This window comes from Homo sapiens, chromosome 15 (assembly GCF_000001405.40).
Source record: "Homo sapiens chromosome 15, GRCh38.p14 Primary Assembly".
Classification (NCBI taxonomy): Eukaryota; Metazoa; Chordata; class Mammalia; order Primates; family Hominidae; genus Homo; species Homo sapiens.
Window position 1 is genome coordinate 91,094,858 of NC_000015.10, and position 19,758 is coordinate 91,114,615.

A 19,758-nucleotide genomic window follows, 5' to 3' on the forward strand; every position below is an offset into this window, starting at 1 on the left:
CAAAAGTCATTCAAGGTAATTTTCTATATTAATCAAATGAAAGAAAAAAATACATATGGTCATCTCAGTAGATGCAAAAAAATGACAAAATTTAACACCCATTTATTATATATTTCATAGCAATCTAACAGAAGAGGGAAGCTTTTAAATATAAAGATTAGAAATATCTCCCCAAAATATGCCACTTTGGCATAAGGCTTATCTTGAGCTAAAGACAATTGGGGAAAAGCAGATACAAGAAAAACTCTCTGTCCTTTCCCTATTTTCCTAAAACCAGGGCATACATATACATGAAAGTCTCCCCTCCACTCTCAACCAAGAACGCTAAAAGTAAATCACCAGATAGAAATGACTTTAGACCCTTATCAGCCTGGAGACAGCAGCAGAACATCTACATAACATGCTTAACTAGCATTTATCTACCATTAGTTTCCTGTATATTTGGCTTCCTACAATTTCCTAAATTGTAGGAGACTCAAAGTCCTTTTCTTTTGTCTTGTCACTTCTCTAAAAATTTATTATTCTTTGTTGAAGATGTTGTATAAGATGGAGTTTGAAGCTATCTCTGTGAGAATTACTTATTTTCTGGGTATCCTCCAGGCATATGTAAGATATACATGTTAATAAACTTGTTTGGTTTTCTCTTGTTAATCTGTATTTTGTTTCAGAAGCCCCAGCCAAACATTTTAGAAGGGTAGAAGGGAACTTATTTTTCCTCCCCTATACACCTATGGTTAGCATCATACTTATTAGTAAGAGTGCTTTCCCTCTGAAGTTATGACTAAGACATGCTGTTCATTATTACCACGTTTACAGTTAACATCATACATAACAGTATGAAGATGCCCCATTCCCCAAATTTGAGAGTTAGACAATGATGCCCGGTGTCATCACTTTTATGAAAGGGCCTAGCTAGAGCAATAAGGCATGAAAAAGTTTATGTAGAAGATGTAACCATTGGAAAAGAAAAAGTGAAATTGTCTTTAATCACATATATTCTGTACCTTAAAAATATCAAAGAATATATAAGCTTTTTTGTTTTGTTCTGTTTTTGTTTTTTGAGATGGAGTCTTCCTCTGTTGCCAGGCTGGAGTGTCATGGTGCGATCTCAGCTCACTGCAACCTCCACCTCCCGGGTTCAAGTGATTCTCCTGCCTCAGCCTCCTGAGTAGCTGGGACTACAGGCATGTGCTGCCACACTCAGCTAATTTTTGTATTTTTAGTAGAGACGGGGTTTCACCATGTTGGCCAGGATGGTCTCAATCTCTTGACCTTGTGATCTGCCCACCTCGGCCTCCCCAAAGTGCTGGGATTACAGGTATGAGCCACCGCGCCTGGCCTATACAAGCTGTAAAAATTAATAAGTGAATTTAGCAATTAAAAGGATATAAAATATAAGAACAATATATCGAAATAAGTTTTATTTTGATACTGATATAAGGTCAATCTAAAATTAATTGTATTTTTGTATACTAGCAATAAGATTAAAAATGAAGTTATAGTACTATTTACAATAGAATGAAAACATCAAAGATTTAAGCATGATACAACAAAACATAGGCAAGATCTATTCATTGAAATCTAGAAAGTATTTCTGAGTGACATTAAAGAAGACAAAATAAGTAGAGAGATATAAAATGTAAAATTATTGGGGGACAGTATTGCTAAGGTGTTCATTCTCACCAAATTGATCTATAGATATAAGGCAATGCCAATCAAAATCCCACCAGGGATTGTGTGCATAATTTGACAAGTTGATTCTAAAATTCTTGTGGAAAAGTTAAGGACCCGAAAGAACCAAGACAACTTGGAAGAAGAAAAAAGGTGGGCAAACATGATCAGATTTCTAGACTTATAATAAAGGTAACTAAGACAGTGTAGTGTTGGTGTAAGTATAGGTACACAGACCAGTGAAACAGAATGAAGAGTCTAGAAATAGATGCACATATAGATGGTCACTTGACTTATAACAAAGATGCTATTGCAAGCTAATTCATAAAGAATGATCTTTTCCACAGTGGTTTTGGAGCAACTGCTATCTTGAAATAAAAGTAAAATTTCAGCCTACCTTATCCCATGCACAAATAGAAAATAAACTAAAATGTAAAGGGTAAAACAAAGGCTTGTAGAAGGAAAGAAACACCAGACAATAGATGCCCAACCCTGAGACAAAGAAAGATTTGTTAAACAAAACACACAAAAGCATTTGTCTTTTAATCACAAAAGAAAAAATTAATGTTGTGTGTCATTAAAATTAAGACAATAAAAATATAAGCCCCAAACACGGAGAAGATATTAAAATTACTATATCCAACCAAGGATTTATACCTAAAACAGAGAGAGTGCCTACAGATCAATAAGAAAAAGACAGAAAACCCAATAAATTGGTCAAAAGACTTGAAACTTTACAAAAGAATATCCAAATGGCCAATAAGCATAAGAAATTGCTCAACATTAGTAATAATCAAGAAACACACATTAAAACTATATCAAAGTTTTAACTTCAATGTAATTTACACTACACACAAGAATGGCTAAAATTAAAAGCACTGATAATGCCAAGTTATGGCAAAGAAATAGAACATCTGGAATTCTCAAATATTGCAGATGGGACTAGGACTGTAAATTGGCACAACCACTTTGGAAAACTGTTTGGTAGTACTGTATCTACTAAGGCAAAGTACTGTATCTATTTACTAAGGCAAAAACAGGCATTTACCTTGTGACCCAGCAACTCTATTCCTAGTTTCATATTCAAAAGAAAAGAGCACATATGTCTATCAAATGTTCATAACAGGCTGTGTGCCATGGCTCACACCTGTAATCCTAGCACTTTGGAAGGCTGATGTGGGTGGATATCTGAGGTCAGGAGTTTGACACCAGCCTGGCCAACATTTCAAAACCCCGTCTCTACTAAAAATACAAAAATTTTCCGGACTTGGTGGCATGTGCCTGTAATCCCAGCTACTTGGGAGGCTGAGGCAGGAGAATTGTTTGAATCTGGGAGGTGGAGGTTGCAGTGAGCTGAGATCATGCCACTGCACTCCAGCCTGGGCGACAGAGCGAGACTTCTTCTCAAAACAAAACAAAACAAAAAACCAAAAAAGAACAAAAAACAAGTTCATAGCAGCTTTATTCATCACAGCTAAAATCTGGAAGCAACTCAAATGTACACTCATAGAAGAAGGGATAAATTGTGTTATATTCAGGCAATAGAATACCATACAGCAATAAGAAAAAAATGACCTACTGATATATGTAATGATATGGAAGAATCTCACAGACATTATTTTGAGTAAAAGAAGCCACACCCAAAAGAGTACATACTATATATATACTGTATGACTCCATTCATGAGTAGTTCAAGAGCAGGTGATACTAATTGCTGCTGAAAAGGGTCAGAGTGGTGGTTACACCTAGGTGGAGGGTGACTGGTATTGCCTGGGAAAGAGCATAAAGAGACCCCTTGATGCCAGGACTGTTTGCCACCTTAATCTGGATGGTGGCTGTAGCAATAGATATTAAGCAGATACGATATTCTGGGTCCCTGTCCATATGAGGCAGACAACAGAGGCGTGCGTTCCTACAGCTTACATTCTCTTATGGAAGCCGGACAACAACTTTAGTAAGGCGTTGGGTGCTGTAGTAGAGGAACTAATGGTAGCTCTGGGCACATGGAGCAGGGAGAATTCAGGTATTTCAGGAATGAGGGAAGACTTCTTTGAGGAAGAGATGGCTCAGCTGAGAATAAGGCTTTAGGCAGAGGTAAGAGGAATGGGAGGAGGAGAACATTCCAAGCAGAGGGAACAGTATGTGCAAAGACCTAGAGGTGAAAGAGTGAGGCACGTCCAAGGAATTAGAAGTTCCATATGGCCAGAGTACAGGGGAAAAGATGAGGGTGGAGGGGTGAGGCTGTGGGGGGTTAGCAAGGGTTTGCTTTCCAGCACTAAATGTGATGTGTTAGGCTGGCGCTGTAGCGCGAGCCTGCATCCCAGCTTGGGAGGCTGAGGCAGGCGGATCACTTGAGCTCAGGAGTTCCAGACCAGCCTGGAGAACAGAGTGAGACTTCTACTCTACAAAACGTTTAACAATTGGCCAGGAGTGGTGGCGCATGCCTGTAGTCCCAGCTACTTGAGAGGCTGAGGCAGGAGGATTGCTTGAGCTGCGGAGGTTGAGGCTGTGATCCAGCCACTGCACCACAGCTTGGGCAACAGAGCCAGACCCTGTCTCAAAAAAAAAAAAAAAAAAATGTTTCGGATTTTTCAAGGACACTGGGAAGCCATCACATGGTTTTAGGTAGGAAAGAGTCAAGATCAGATTTACATGTTGAGAAATGACTCCAGGAGCCTGAGAAGTTGAAGTCCTTGCGGGTGGTCCAGGTGCGAGTCGGCGGAGGCCCCAGCCAGGGAAGAGGCAGGGAGCTGGAGCGCAGGTCATTGACGGCAGCGAGAGTGGGGAGTCCAGCTGAAGACCTCATGATGGAGGATGTGCTCCATGGAGAAGAGGGGGAAGGCTCTTCCAGAACTGGCCTTCATTTTAGCCCTGTTAGGAAAGGAACGTAGCTTCGGATCCTAGAGGGGCCAGGCACCTGCAGTGTTGTGCTGTTTGAGTCCGCATCCGAATTTCCAGTGTCCTTTCCTTGCTCCTTACTTGCTCCTAGAAGGAGCCCTATGCTCCTAAAGAGTCTTTCGGTGCTGAGCCTTGGCAGTTTAGTTTGCTGAACTCTCGTCAGTGGAGTTAGTGGGTGGTGGTTTGGAAGGAGGGAGACAGAGGTGGAGGGCTTGTTTGAATGCACCAAGCCTTGCAGGCTTTCCTCCTCCCCGCGCTGGCCGGGTAGGTTCTCTTCAGTTCCTGATGAGGCAAACGAGAACAAAGCAGTCGAACAGCACCATGATCGACGATACTTTGGGGGCGGCGTGATCAGAGGATTCCCCTTCCCGGGAACTTGCGTCTAGTCCTCTGACGCATCCTAGTTCGGAGTGGGTGGAAGGGCATGTGGAGTCCACAGCGCCCCCTCGCCCTAGGCGGGGTGGAGACAGCGAGACGACGCCCATGATCAGCTGGTTACAAAACTCGAGGAATAAGAAGTTTAATATTTATTGGTCTGCAAATCCGGAGACCTTGCGGCCTCACTGGTCCTCCTTCCCTCTGAGCTATCTCCACACCCAGCCTTCGATCAGAAGGAGATTTAGAAGCAGAGCTGCCCGCAGCGAATACTTTTAATGCCCGGGCCGGGAAGAAAGCGGGTTAGGATCTGATCCCGCTGAGTAGAGGACCCAGGAGCCTCCCGCCCCGCGTGCTCTGTAGCGCGGGGGCGCGCTGCGCGCTGCGCCTGGGCGGCTGGCGGGGGCGGCGTGGGCGCGGTGATGCAGGTGTGACACCCGCCGGCGCCTGCCTCCGCCCGGATCGCCCAGCTCCGCGTTAGCCGGAGCTGCACGCGGGGCTGCCGGGGCGGACGCTGCTCTGCCTGCATCCGGAGGCGGCCGCCAGCGGATTTGCCACCCAGGTAGGGGACTGCGTTGCTCGCTGCGGTGCAACCGACCCAGCCGGGGCGCGGACCCCGCGTGCGCCAGGGCTCCCAGACTCGCCTGCCTGGGCTGAAATATACACGCTCGCACAGCTGAGTGCTGTTCATAGTAAATGGCACAAAAGATCGGAGAGTCTTGAAAAACCGGCGCAGAAAAGCAAGGACTTGCCCGCTGCCTGGAGCTGTGCGCTTCTTTGAAAGCGGCCTCCCCAAGGGCTGTTTTAAAACCCTGTTTGAACTATTAGCGCCATAAGTAGTTTTGCAACTTATAAATGTCAGGCTGCTGGCATTTATAGCTCCGTTTCCATAAGCTTCCTAGCCGCTGCTTTTAGTTTCAGTTACATTCTAGTAGATAGATTTTGTTATTGTTGTTGGCTTGTTCTTAAAGAACAGAATTCAAACGTGCTTACACCTGGTGGCTCTTGGGGTTTGTGAGTGTGTATTTCTGTATGTGCAGGGCGCCCTCCGTGGGCGTGGGAGCCGTTTCTTAGGGACACAGAAGGATTTGTTTATGGACGGGTTTTAGCGCAAGGGAAAGAAAATGACTTGTTTTGCAGGGATGGGCTAGCAAATGCGTTTAGCCAGGGAGGAGCAAGGCACCGCTGTGTCTTCGGCAGACGGGTGGTAGAAATCTCTGCTGTCCAGGGTTCAGCAGGGCTGATGAAATACACTCCTTTATCCGGAAATTACAGATGCAAATTACTCCGTTTAAGGGTAACTTAACGTTGGTGTCTTGGGCTCTGATAAGAGCAGCCCCAGTGGGGTGGGGTGGGACGCTGGGGGAATGCTTGCTGGCTTTCTAGCCCTTGGGGAGGTGAATGTGGGTGGCTTTGGGGCTCAGAGAGTGGCAGGTGAGGGGTAAGGAGGGTGCATGAGGGAGGACTGGGCACTGTAGTCGGCTCAGCGGTGGTTCTGGTCTATGCTGGTCTCCTCTGTGTTTCTGCTTCCTGCCCTTTCCAGAAGAGGTGACTTGTTCTGCTTGTTCCAGTTGGTGCAGTAGGTACAGGCTCGTTCTGCATCTTTCTTGAGTCAGCAAATACTTACTGAGCACTTAGTATTTGTCAGAGATGGGATTAGTCCTTGGGGATGCAGAGATGATGATAACAATGTCCTGGCTCCCTGAGGTTCACACCTGGTAGGGGGAGAAGCACTCGTAATCAGGAGGTGGATAAGTTCATGATGGTGTTGGAAAAGAGCAGTGAGAGCAGAGAGGAGGAGGAAATTGATAGTGGCAGTGATTAGTATAAAAATGAAGCCCTCATGGATTAGGCATGGCGTGGATTTCAGCAGGGACTGGGTCGCTCTCTTGGTTCTTCGGTCCGGGAGTGACCCACATGACTCTCCCACACCATTGCCATCACTGCCACTGGGTGGGCAGAGCTTTACAAGTCTCGGCTGGGCTGGTATTTGCAGTATGTGACTAGACCCCAGTAGACACAGGCTGACACCCAGAGAGGAGCACACACAATACAAGTCAGACTTTAATTTTTTCCTTTTTTAATGAATGCTTTTCCTGAATTCCAGGACTATGAAGGTTTTGAAGCAACACTTCACAAAGGCAGGGACTCTGGAAAATTCTGAGGGAGTTTCAGAGCAGATGAACTTCTGTCTGCTTCTCCCTGGGTCCCCGACCTATCTGTTCTTGTCCCAGCCCAGTTCAAAAGGAAAACTCTCCCTTGATTTTCCCTAAATGGGTGGAATAAGGGAAAACTAAAGCTGTTACTACCAGTCTTTTCTGGGAGATGAAAATCCAATCTCAAGGATGTTTCTTCCTGGACCAAAGCTGTGATGGGTGACGAAAAATGATAGAATGAAAAGCTCTTGTGTTATGTATTTGCCAGAGATGTGTGTTACATGCGCCTACATCATCATTAAGGTATTTGAAAAGCAGCGTGCACTACAAGAAGCATGAGCGTGGATGCTCAAACAGACCTAGGTGAGTGTCTTGGGCAAGTTACTCAGCCCCTCTTTGAGCATTAGTTTCCTGATCTGTAAAATGGAGACAGTAATAGGATTCTTATAATAATTAAAGAAAAGATACTTTAAAATATTTACTCATTGTTACCCGATCATCATATATAACTTGCCTGGCACAAAGTAGGTGCTCAAGAAATGGCAGTTCATTCATTAAGTTCCTACTATGTGTCAGCCATTGCTCTATGTGTGGAGAATACAGACAAAAACAACCAAAAAAGCCCTCTCTCAAGGAGCTTAAATTAATGAGAGAGTGTGTGTATGTGTGTGTGTGTAAGATGATGGACAAATAAATAAGTATAGAGTGTATCAGCTAATGAGACACTGTAATGGAGAAAAATAAAGCTGGCTGAGAGGACTGGGGAGTGCTGCCAGAGGGCAGGGTGGGGCTTGTTATTTATTTTTATACAGCTTGGCCAGGGAAGGCTTTTTGGTAAATGACATTTGACCAGACATCTGGGGAAGTGAGGGAGGAAGCCAGGGATTCTGGTAAATGACATTTTACCAGACATCTGGGGAAGTGAGGGAGGAAGCCAGAGGTTGCAGGCAGCACCTGCAAAACCCTGAGATAGGAGAGAGGTGTGTTCCCAAGAGACCCAGAAAGGAGGCCACGGAAGCTGCTGTTGAGTCAGACACCCGGGACAGCAGTAGGACCTGAGGTCATAGGGGCAACACGGCAGGTATTTGAGATATTGCCTCTTAGGATTCCTATTTGTCACTATGATGTATGTGCTGAGTTATTGTTTAAGGAACTGGATGAAATCCTAAACTCTGTGTTTAGAAGAAGGTTGGTTGGTAGATATAAGTACTTGTGGTCATTCAGAGCATAAACGAATGCAGGAAGCAGAAAGCATAGGTCTTTGCAAGGCAACAGGAAGCACAGGAATTAAGGACACTGTGGAACGCAACATTCAGATTTCTCCCATCCGGATGGAGGACTGTGTTTGTGCTTCTTTTGAATCTTAGTATTATGATTTTTTGTTTCCTTTCCCCCACACTAAAAGAAAAGGTCATCTTTAGCAAACAGGCCAGCAGTCCTTGCTAGATATTCTTTTTTCTTTGAGAATGAGAAGAGTTTCTATGATCATGGAAAAGTGTTGGGATCATCTGGAAATATGCTGACCTTCAGTGTACCATGAAATGCATTTACATAATATCATATGGCAAATTTATTTAAAGCCTCTATCTTATAGGCTTAACATAAAGATCAGTTTGCTGCTCTGCCCTTTGGAAACTTTATTCCTCTAGAGAAAACATGGTTTGGGCATTTGAGAGCCTCATCACTCAGCTGTCCTTGGTGCAGAAGGGCTACTGCAGTGTGTTCCATGGCCAGAAATGGGGCTGGATGCCTGAGAACCTAGTCAAAGTTTCTGTGAAATAGAATGAGGTGAGGCTGGGTCAAGGTCAGAGAGTCTGGCTGGGTGTCCCCGAGTCCACCTCAGAAGGCAACATTTACTTCTGTGAATTTCCCCCATCCAATATCTGGCTTTTAGTATTGCTGCCTCAGAAACCTGATCTGTCTTTCCGGGCCACGTCACAGTGACCTTGTTCACCTGCATGCCAGCTTATTGATTTGCAGTGGTTGAGACACTGTGTGGCTTGGCTGGTGGGTCTTCTTCCTGCAGACCCCTGTCATAACAGCCAAATCACAAGGAGAAGATCTCCTGAAGCACATTATTCAGAGCAAAGCAGCTTAGATGCGTACCCTAGGGACTGATTACATGCTTTAGGGCCAACCTTGCCAACGGGACTACAGACCAAACCACCCCTAAACTTAATGGCTTAAAACAACAGCCATTTCTTATTTTCTCACATGTCTCTTGGTTGGCTGGGTAGTTCTGCAGTTCTGAGTTGTGCTTGCTTGATTTCAGCTGTGCTTGCTCATGTGATTTTGGTCTGCTGATGGAGTGTCTGAGGGCTGGCTGCTTTAGGATGGCCTCAGCTGGATGACTTGGCTCTGCTCCATGTGGTCACTCATCCTCTGGCAGGCTAGCCTGGCATGTTCACATGGTAGTGGCAGGAGGCTAAGAGAAAGTAAAAGCTTGTATGGCCTCTTGAGGCCTAAGCTGATAACTGGCACTCCGTCACTTTATCTTTGTCTAATGACAAAATTAAGGCACAAGATAGCCCAGAGTGGAAAGTTAGGAAAACAGACTCCACTTCTTGATAGGAGGAGCTACATAGTCACATTGCAAAATGTACAGATACAGGGAGGGGAAGAATTGAGACATTTTGCAATCAATCAATCAATCAATCTACCATAGGGACCTGAATATTTATTTATTTATTTTTGAGATGGAGTTTCACTCTTGTTGCCCAGGCTGAGTGCAGTGGTGCGATCTCAGCTCACTGCAACCTCAGCCTCCCAGGTTCAAGCGATTCTTCTGCCTCAGCCTCCTGAGTAGCTGGGACTACAGGCGTGCACCACCATGCCCGGCTAATTTTGTATTTTTAGTAGAGATGGGGTTTCTCCATGTTGGTCAGGCTGGTCTCAAACTCCTGACCTCAGATGATCTGCCCGCCTCGGCCTCCCAAAGTGCTGGGATTACAGGCGTGAGCCACCGCGCCTGACTGGGACCTGAACATTTAAAGTGCTGTTGGCTAGGTTTCCTTTTCTTCCGGACTCTGCTCGAATGGGCAGAGCCTGTACTTGCTCTTGTGACTGTCTCTTTCTGTGTTTCTGTGGTTGACCATCTAGAGATGTATGTATCTTTAGATAATCATTCATTCACTAAATAAATATTTATTGAGTGGTCTCTATGTGCCAGGCATGTTATAGGAAGTAGACCCATCTCATGAAGCATTCATTCTAGTTGAGGGAGACAAATAATATGTAAGTAAATAATGTATGTTTTATATCAGGTGATTAAGGAATGTTGAGCAGGGAAAGGAAGATGGGGGGTGCCTTGTTGTGTTGGAGTGGGAGGGTAGGGTAAAACGAAGTGTGGGTATTTTATGCAAGGTGGTCAGGGTGACATGAAGGAAGTGAAGGAGTGAGCCAGACAGTTATCTGGGGAAAGACATTTCCAGGTAGGGAGAACAGGTGCAAAGGCCCCGAGGCAACAGATAACTGGCATGTTCCAGGAACAGCAAGGTGGCTTATGTAGAAGGAACTGAACGAGACAGGGTGAGCGTGGGAGAAGAGATCAGAGAAGTAGCAGGGAGCCAGCTAATAGAAGGTCCTGTAGGGCCTTGTGTAGACTTTAGCCTTTATTTTGAGGAAAATGGGACACCACTGGAGAATTCTGAGCACAGGGTGCTATTAGCTGATTTATGTTTTCCAAGGATCCCTTGAGCTTTAGAGCTTAGTGTAGACTCTTGGAGGATAAGGGTGGAAACAGGGAGATTAGTCAGGATGGTACTGCAGTGACCCAGGTGAGAGAGGGTGGTGGTTTGGACCAGGCTGGATAGTACTTAAAATGGTGAGAAGTTGTAATCCCAGCATTTTGGGAGGCCAAGGTGGGTGGATCACTTGAGCTCAGGAGTTTGAGACCAGCCTGGACAACGTGGCAAAATCCCAACTCTACAACAAATAAAAAAATTAGCCAGGTGTGGTGGCACATGCCTGTAGCCCTAGCTACTCGGGAGTCTGAGGTGGGAGGATCACCTGAGCCTGGGGAGGTCGAGGCTGCAGTGAGTCACGATAATGCCATTGTACTCCAGCCTGGACAATGGATTGAGATCATGTCAAAAATAAATAAAAATAAAAAAAGATGGTGAGAAGTGGCTAAATTCATAAAGCAGGCAGGATGTGTGGATGAGTTAGATACTTAGAGTATGAGAAAAAGATGACATAATGAATTTTGACCTAAGCAGCTGGATGGAGTAGCACTTTAGTGAGGTGGAGAGGAAACAGTGATGGGGTTTAATTGGATATCCAATGGGAGATGTTAAGTAGTTCATTGCATATGAGAGTCTAGAGTTCAGGGAAGAGTTTCAGGAAGGAGACATAGGTTTGAGTATCATTAGCATGTTATTTATTTTTCCGTGAGCCAAGTCACTGCTGTATCACTAGTGCCCAGAATATTGTCTGGCACATTGTATATCCTCAATGGATATGTACTGAATGAGTGAATGGAACCACTTACTTACTAGAGTTGACTGCAAATCTTTGCTTTGGTGGATTTTGAAGTGTAACTCCTTGAAGTTATTTCCTTTCTTTACAAGGTCTCATGGGAGCCTTATTGTGGATCTTATGCACTAAAAAGAGGCTTTAAATGTGAAGGCTCCAATCGCTTATATCATACGGAAAGCAACGTGTGGTGACAAGAAAGAAAGAGGAACAAGTGGAAACCAAAAAATAGCTCATATTTTCAAAAAATGAGAAAAGATCCTTTAGAGGGAGGTGGCTGAAATTCAGGGGTGTGATGTTCTTGGGTTATTATTGTACTGCTCTTAATTTAAGATGAGGCAGAAGCAAGGAAGAATCTTGAAAGGGGAGAATTTTATTTAAATCAATTTATGCCGAGTGTCACCAGCTTGCTTGAGAAACCCCACATCTACAGTAGCTTGCATAATGTGTTCCTGTTTATAAAAGGAAGAAATAGGGAATAGCCTTCATAGGAAAAGGGGAGGGCTGGAATGACTTCAGCCTCAGGCTGTGGGTGCTGTCCATTTTCTTCTCGTGGTGTGTCTGATTCTATATAAGTTTTGTTTGCAATGATGTTGGTGAAGGGAGTGAAACAAGAAAAAGCAGGTACTGCTGTTGAAAGTGGTTGTGTGTGTGTGTGTGTGAGGGAGAGAGAGAGAGATGGAGAATGTGCCAGTGGCGGAGAAAAAGAACCAAATCCCAGAAGGAAGTGTGAGAAAGAGATGCAAGCTGCCCTTCATTTTTACGTGTGGTTACTAGGCCTGACCACATGGGGCTAGGATGGAGCAGTGGGCTTTAGCATCAGACAGAACTGGGTTTGCACTCAGACTTCATTACTTTATTTGTTTGTTTATTTATTTATTTATTTATTTATTTATTTTTTGAGATGGAGTATCCTTCTATCACCAGGCTGGAGTGTAGTGGCACAATCTTAGCTCACTGCAACCTCTGCCTCCCGGGTTCAAGCGATTCTCCTGCCTCAGCCTCCTGAGTAGCTGGGACTACAGGCACGTGCCACCACGCCCAGCTAATTTTTGTATTTTTAGTAGAGACGGGGTTTTACCATGTTGGCCAGGATGGTCTTGATCTCTTTACCTTGTTATCTGCCCGCCTTGGCCTCCCAAAGTGCTGGGATTACAGGCGTGAGCCACCGTGCCCGCTAACTTTCTATTTTTTTTTGAGACAGGGTCTCACTCTGTCAACCAGGCTGGAGTGCAGTGGCGTGAACTCAGCTCACTGCAGCCTTGACCTCCCGGGCTCAAGTGATCTTCCCATCTCAGCCTCCAAAGTAGCTGGGAATACAGGCATGCACCACCATGCCCGGCTAATTTTTAAATTTTTTTGTAGAGGTGGGATCTTGCTATGCTGCCCAGGCTGGTCTTGAACTCATGGGCTCAAGTGATTCTTCCACCTTAGTCCCCAAAGTGGTGGGATTATAGGTGTGAGTCACCATGCCCAGCCCAAGCTTCCTTACTTTCTAGCTGTGTAAACTTGAGCACATTATTTAATTTCCCTGAGCCTGGGTTTCCTCAGTTGTAAGGTGATGATGGTGGTGTGGTGTGGTGGTGGTGATGATGATGATGATAGTAATCATACCCCAGTGTTCTGCAGTCTCCTTCATGCTCCTGGACTTGGAACTATGTTGGTGTAAATATTGATTAAAGGATTACCATACCAGCTGAAGGACTTAAAGATTTTATGTGAAGGGAGAAATGAGAATTTGATGTTCACAGTGCCATTTAGAAGATTATTTCCATGGGGCCCATAATGTTCAAAATTAGACAAAGGGACAATAATAAAATGTCTAGCCTTATGGGCTAGACATTTCAAGGTGCCTCAGAGGAAAACTAACCTCCCTTCTCTGCAATAAGCCAATCTCCTTAGTTCAGTTCTGCAGTGTCGCATAGTTTGTTGGAATTCCATAATGAAAATTTTGGAGTCATGTGTAGTATATAGATGCAGAAGCTTTCCTGTCTGATGCCTTTGTGGCTCCCACAGAATCCACTGCATGGTGTTCTTCTGGAAAGGTCTGTGGTTCTTCCTGTTCCAGGCACATAGTAGGCACACTATACGTATTTATTAGATACATGGTGAATAAATGCTGCTGTGTTTTCTCTGTTGGCTGTGGCTCTCTTGGTTGCTCCTCCCGGCCTGGGCAAGAGATCAGCAGGTAAGTGACAGTGATGAGCTAAGTCTCTGGCAGGTACTCAGCAGCTAATGTTACCCTCTCTCCACCACCCTCATGCCTTGGCTACCATTCTGACATCCCCTAGATCAAGAATCATATACTCAGCTTTCCCTTTAAGCCCCCAGTTACATCGTCAGCAAAGCCAAAGCTCCCTTGCTGTCCTGACCTTTGATTACAGGTAACGCAACAGTGTCTCCTGACTTAGCAACAAAGACCCACACCTGGGTTCCCTGCTTCAGCTCCCACACAGAAGCCTGTGGTCCCGTTAAGTCTTCCTGTTTTCTATACACACTTCTGCTCCACCCACCTCCTGTTCCCTTCAGTTGTTAGAGCTTGATTCTGTATGGGTTGGCAGGGGAGAGAGTAGCATTAATTTTCTTTTCACAAAAGGCAATTGAAAATTCTCTCCTAACGGATGACTGTCTAGCCCCTCAGAACTGAACTTCTTCAGGAGGCAGATAGGCTACATCCTTCCTCCTGTGCCCATTTTACAGATGAGATATCTGAGGCGCAGAGAAAAGAAATGACAGACAAAAGTACCCTTGGAAAAGTGGATGCACAATCTCATTTGTTTCCTGCCAGCTCTGCATAGATGCAAGAGAAGGTAATTCTTCCAGACCGCTGGGGCCTTCTTGAATCACGGATGTCTGCATCCAGAAGCTGATTGTTGAATCACAGGTGTCTGGATTTGGAAGTTGACTGTTCAAACTGGGAGCTTGGTGCTGTTAAGTACTTCTTATGTCAACCCCAGGTGATATGTGTGTGGGCAGGAGCTCTAGGCTCCCAAAACTCACCTAGGTGTGATAGGTGTGATTTACAATTCTGTTTTCATGATCATTTCATGAGAGAAACCTGCAAATGAACACTGCTAAGGAGATGGAACAGAACACGTTAATGGATAAATGAGCTGTCTATCATTACCCCTGAGTGAGCGTGATTTGTTTTAATGAATATTTCATGGGCAGGTTCCTTTTCAGGTCCAGAATATGCTCAAGTCAATGAAGACCTTAATTGAACTGTAGGATCTTACAGTTTCAGAGCTCGAAGGGACCCTAGAAAGCGGGGAATCCAAACTTCTTATTATTCAAGGAAGGAAATAATTAAAAAAATTTTTTTGGTACATGTTCTTGCCCTGTTGCCCAGGCTGGAGTGTAGTGGCACAATCTTGGTCTCACTGCAACCTCTGCCTCTTGGGCCCAAGCAATCCTCTCACCTCAGCCTCCCAAGTAGCTGGAATTATAGGCGTGTCCCACCATACCTGGCTAATTTTTTAATTTTTTGTAGAGACGAGGTCTCATTATATTGCCCAGGCTGGATTTCCCAAGCAATCCTCCAGGCTTGGCCTCCCAAAGTGCTGGGATTACAGGCATGAACCACTGCATCCACCTCGGAAATAGCTTATTTGGGTGGATAAAAGAGCTGTCCGTCATTACTCACATTACAAATCACGCTCACTCAGGAGTAATGATGGACAGCTCATTTATCCATTAACGTGTTCTGTTCCTTCTTCTTAGCAGTGTTCATTTGCATGTTTCTCTCATGAAATGACCATGAAAACAGAATTGTAATTTATAAGAAAAGAGGTTTAATTGGCTCCTGGATTCATACAGTAAGTTAATGATGGAGAGAGGGTCAAAGCTCAGGTCGGGGCTGTAGCAATGTTAAGTTTGTATGAGAGGCCAAGAGAGAACAGGAAAACGGGGTGTGGGTCCCCTACACTGTCATGCTTAGAAACCCTCTGAAATGGCACAACTAGTTCTCCCAAGCAGGTGAGAGCCTGGTTAGGCCCCTCAACAGCCTCCTCTGATTGCTCAATCCTCTGGGATTTTCCCTGCCTGGCTCCCAGAGCCCAGGCCCAGTGAGGGTGGCTCCTGTGTTGCCTGCCATCCCTGCTCTATCGCACGCAGAATCTGACCGTGGCCTCTCGCCTGATCTGGGGTGCAGCAGATGGCGCCGAGGAATGGAGCCCAGCTGGCACGTGGGAGGCTCTGCGGGAGAGGAAGAGGCACCGTGGGGTGGCCTGCCCTAGGCAAAGTGCTGGGCCTGGGAGATGGGGCTGGAAAGGTCATGGGAATGTCGGGAGCCTCTGCCCTTGACCCTGGAGGGCTCAAGGAATTTAGTTCCACCCCTAGCACTATGACAAGTGACGAACACATCCCACACATGCCAGTGTAAGGGTCTGTGAATTAAATGCAGCCACTTTAATTTTTGTTTTTTAAAGCAAAGCATAAACATGAAGCTTTAAGGAAAGGAAAGCTATAGGGTAGCAATGTAAAGGCAGTAGCTTGAAACTTAAGGCAAAGAAGAGAAACTCAAATGGGACAATGGAGAAGTAGATGAGAAAGGGTATATGAAAACACGGTGGGGTGCTGAGCCAGCTTCTCCTATTTCCCATGATGGATAAGGTCTTTTTTTTGGTGGCGCCGCCCACGTCTGTGGCAGAAAAGCTGTGCTGGGCTCCCACCCTCATATCACAGGACTGGTGGCCGCCTGCTTCTTCGGTGGCTCAGCATGCAGCATCTCGGGGCACTACAGAGGGCTGTCAGAGGCCGGGCTAGTCCTATCAGGTTTCTCAGTTTTACCTGTGTCACTCCCAGGTTTATGTCTTGTTACTTTCAGCCCATTTCTTTAGACAAGCAAGGCCCCTGCTGGCTGGCTTGGCCTTCCAGTCAGTTCCTGGATTCTTGAGCAAACTCTTACTTTCTTGTGGTTCTTTGAGATGGTGCAGGGCAAAGAGCCCCAGAGCCTGTCAGCTCAGAGCTCTGCAGTAGGGGAGCTCATTAATTAATACTTAGAGTACAAGGTGGGGAGGTACATGCTGAGAGAATTGGGGAGAGTGAGGCTGGAAGCCGTTGCTATTGCTGCATGAGGAAAGAAGACGGGGGGCCAGGCAAAGCTATTGGACAGGAGAGGGGATATTGTCTGATGAGCCTTGAAGGTTGGGCTGTTGTGGGGAGGATAGGGAATGGTTTCAGGAGAAGCATGTAGACCTGAAAATGCATGGTTGATTTTGGAACAATAGGGGGTTTGGTGTATTAGTCTGTTCTTTCATTGCTATAAAGAAATACCTGAGATTGGGTAATTTATAAGAAAAGAGTTTTAATTGGCTCATGGTTCTGCAGGCTACACAGGAAGCATGGTGGCATCTGGAGAGGCCTCAGGAAGCTTCCAATTATGGAAGAAGGCAAAGAGACAGCAGGCATGTCACATGGCAGAAGCAGGAGCAAGAGAGAGAGAGGGGAGTTGCCACATATTTTTAAGTGATTAGATCTCATGAGAACTCACTCACTATTGCCAGGACAGCACCAAGGGAATGGTGCCAAACCATTCATGAGAAATGTACCCCCATGATCCTATTACCTTCCACCAGGCCCCACCTCCAACACTGAGGATTACATTTCAACATGAGATTTGGGCAGGGACACACATCCAAACTATGTCATCTGCTGTGGCCAAAACATGGGGTCTGAGGTGGTATTGGCTGGGGGTGGGGTGAGGGTTGGGTCGGGTGGGGATAGGGAGAAGGGGGATGGGGAGAAGTTTGGTGAGAAGTAGCAGGACGCCCACTAGAATCTCTTGTGGGTTTAAATGTTGTCACCAGATGTGCCAAGGAGGAAGAAGCTCGAGAACCATGGTGATACAGAGGAGCTGGTTGTCTTGGCTCCTGAAATGCTCCTGCAAGTGGTGAGATCGCCGCTGTCCTGTGCTTCAGCCACGATGTGTGGCCGGGTGTGAATTAAGCAGACCACAAGTTTGGTTTGGTCTTGGTCACAGATCTCCATCCAAATAGAGAAGCAGCCTTGGAAACTGTGATTGAAGTCTTGGAAATGCTCTGAGGCACAGAAAGATCCCAGAGAGCATGGAAAGCATTTAAGAAAGAAAAAGCTTTTAGGTTGTTGTTACCCAAAACAAATGGAGTGGAAAGTTCTGTTTGAAAAAGATGAGAGAGAAGCAAGGGAATCAGGGAAGCAGGATTTGCCTGTATTTCTTGGGTAGTTACCTGGATTATATAGTTCTACCCATAACTCCTCAAAGACTCACTGATTAGGGGATTTTCCCGCTTTCTCTTTTTCCTCATCATTTTGGATACATTAAAGACATATTACAGACCATCTAGAAAATAGGGCAAAGAAAAGGAAAACTTACTTATAATCCCCACCATTTATGTAGCATTTTGAATTCTATTCTTTCTCTTTTAGAGACAGGGTCTTGCTCTGCCACCCAGGCTGGATTACAGTGGTGCCGTCATGGCTCACTGCAGCCTCAAACTCCTGGGCTCAAGAGACCCTCCCACCCCAGCCTCCTGAGTAGCTGGGATGAAAAGGCAAACACCATCATTCCTGGCTAATTTTTATTAAATTAATTTTTTTCTTTTTTGAGAGATGGGGTCTCCCTATTTTGCCCAGACTAGTCCTGAATTCCTGGCCTGAAGCGGTGCTCTCACCTTGGCCTCTCCTAAAGCAGTGGGATTACAGCATGAGCCACTATGCCTGACCCAGATGTAATCATGTTAAGTATGCAGTTTAGAAGCCTTTGGCAAAGACCAGCTGGCTTCATTTCCTCGTCCTCCTGGGCACATAGACTACATCTCCAGGCTTCCTTTGCAAGTGGGCGTGGCCACGTAACAGTTTTGTTGATGCGGTGAGAAAGGTGTGCTCTTCCAGGCTCCTTTTCATCTATTGGCTGCCCCTGCATGAGGCTATCTCAAGTGCGAGAAATAAACTCTGCCTATGCTCAACTACACACATCTTAGAGTTTGTTTGTTGCAGTAGTTTAGCTGACTTTCACCCACACAGAAGCTGAAATTTCAATGAGCTATTTCTCATAAGCTTATGGGAACAAGTTGAGGAGGATCCAGAGGCATGTTTCTTGATAACATAAAGATTAAAAGGTTATAGCTGGGCTGTTGGGTTGCCTGTAGCCTGGGTGCTCTTTAATAGAGAAAACGACTGGGGTAAACATCCAACTTTTTTCCCGCGATGAATATACCAGGAGCATATACATCTGAAAAGGCTGAAGTTCAATATTTTCCCTTTTCTTCTCTCATTGTTTCTGACTTCTACAAAATAATAGGAATATATTATAGAATCCCATATCATTTTTAAACCCAGAGGTTCTTTCTGATACAGGTTGCATAGCCTCAGACAAGTTTAACTTCACAGAGCCTCAATTTCCTGATCTTTAAAATAGTCGCAGTAAGGTCTATTTTCTGGGATTGTTGAGTCATTGAAGGAGATCATGTTTGTCAGTGCGTAGTAGGGTACATTGTGCACAATAATAGGTGCCTTCCCACTGGACTATAGATTCCCTGAGAGAAAGACTGTGCCACCTTGTCTACTACTGTAGCTCCGGTGTCTAACACAGTCCCTGGCACATAGTAGGTGCTCAATGGTTAGTTATTTTCCAAACTTAAAGTGCCTTAAAGAGACCCCAGCTACTCGGGAGGCTGAGGCAGGAGAATGGTGCGAACCCAGGAGGCGGAGCTTGCAGTGAGCCGAGATCGCGCCACTGCACTCCAGCCTGGGCGACAGAGCAAGACTCCATCTCAAAAAAAAAAAAAAAAAAAAAAAAAAGGGACAAACAATGTACCCTGGATTGGAGAACTGAGAAAGGTGTTAGAGGAACATGGAGAGGGTCTGGACAGTCTAACACCTTAACCTTGAGGTGCTGGGAGGGTTAATCTATGAGTTCACCACAAGGGTGAGAGAACAAGAGTTTACACAAGAAGATGGGGAAACGTCCTATCTCTAATGTGTGTGCTTGGGATTGCTCTATATTTGGATGATAACTCTCTCATCTGAGGTTAATCCTCTTTGTCGGAGTCATCCAGCCAAGGGATTAACTGCTTTAAACTCCAGGCCTCGCTGGCCCTGACAATGTGAGCTTGGTGTTGCTGGCGCCCAGGGACCCAAGGGGTCCGTTTTTATTGACTCAACACACAAGGTTCCTCTGTGGCTATTTAATCCCAGTCTCTTAATC

The 19,758-nt window shown here is 45.3% G+C and overlaps 1 protein-coding gene across 12 annotated transcripts in view, besides 5 other annotated features; it reads left to right on the forward strand.

The window, feature by feature from the left end:
• Positions 4,636-5,177: an enhancer, noted in NCBI's record as "OCT4-NANOG hESC enhancer chr15:91642723-91643264 (GRCh37/hg19 assembly coordinates)". NCBI's record gives its function as "activates a minimal SCP1, AML or CMV promoter by ChIP-STARR-seq in naive H9 embryonic stem cells {active_cell/tissue: H9 hESC(naive)}" and the evidence as "EXISTENCE:reporter gene assay evidence [ECO:0000049][PMID:30033119]".
• Positions 4,731-19,758, forward strand: part of SV2B (synaptic vesicle glycoprotein 2B) — a 202,978-nt gene continuing 187,950 nt past the window's right edge. For 5 of the 12 annotated variants that reach the window (NM_014848.7, NM_001323032.3, NM_001323034.3 and 2 more), the window contains exon 1: positions 5,400-5,506. Coding sequence is in view for 1 of the 12 variants with exons in the window: in NM_001323036.3 (NP_001309965.1) it covers positions 6,220-6,241 (22 nt within the window). In the remaining 11 variants the exon portion in view is untranslated. Of the gene's footprint in view, positions 4,834-5,399; positions 5,507-6,093; positions 6,242-6,938; positions 7,464-19,758 lie in introns of those variants that run through there. The other 7 variants (NM_001323037.3, NM_001323038.3, NM_001323036.3 and 4 more) reach the window with 3 other exon arrangements.
• Positions 5,227-5,626: a silencer, noted in NCBI's record as "silent region_6838". NCBI's record gives its function as "represses an Ori minimal core promoter by ATAC-STARR-seq in GM12878 lymphoblastoid cells {active_cell/tissue: GM12878}" and the evidence as "EXISTENCE:reporter gene assay evidence [ECO:0000049][PMID:35858748]".
• Positions 15,230-15,756: an enhancer, noted in NCBI's record as "H3K4me1 hESC enhancer chr15:91653317-91653843 (GRCh37/hg19 assembly coordinates)". NCBI's record gives its function as "activates a minimal SCP1, AML or CMV promoter by ChIP-STARR-seq in naive H9 embryonic stem cells {active_cell/tissue: H9 hESC(naive)}" and the evidence as "EXISTENCE:reporter gene assay evidence [ECO:0000049][PMID:30033119]".
• Positions 15,757-16,282: an enhancer, noted in NCBI's record as "H3K4me1 hESC enhancer chr15:91653844-91654369 (GRCh37/hg19 assembly coordinates)". NCBI's record gives its function as "activates a minimal SCP1, AML or CMV promoter by ChIP-STARR-seq in naive H9 embryonic stem cells {active_cell/tissue: H9 hESC(naive)}" and the evidence as "EXISTENCE:reporter gene assay evidence [ECO:0000049][PMID:30033119]".
• Positions 18,181-18,341: a silencer, noted in NCBI's record as "fragment chr15:91656268-91656428 (GRCh37/hg19 assembly coordinates)". NCBI's record gives its function as "represses an EF-1alpha promoter that drives an FKBP-Casp9 reporter gene in an ReSE screen in phorbol 12-myristate 13-acetate-treated (for megakaryocytic differentiation) K562 erythroleukemia cells {active_cell/tissue: K562(+PMA)}" and the evidence as "EXISTENCE:reporter gene assay evidence [ECO:0000049][PMID:32094911]".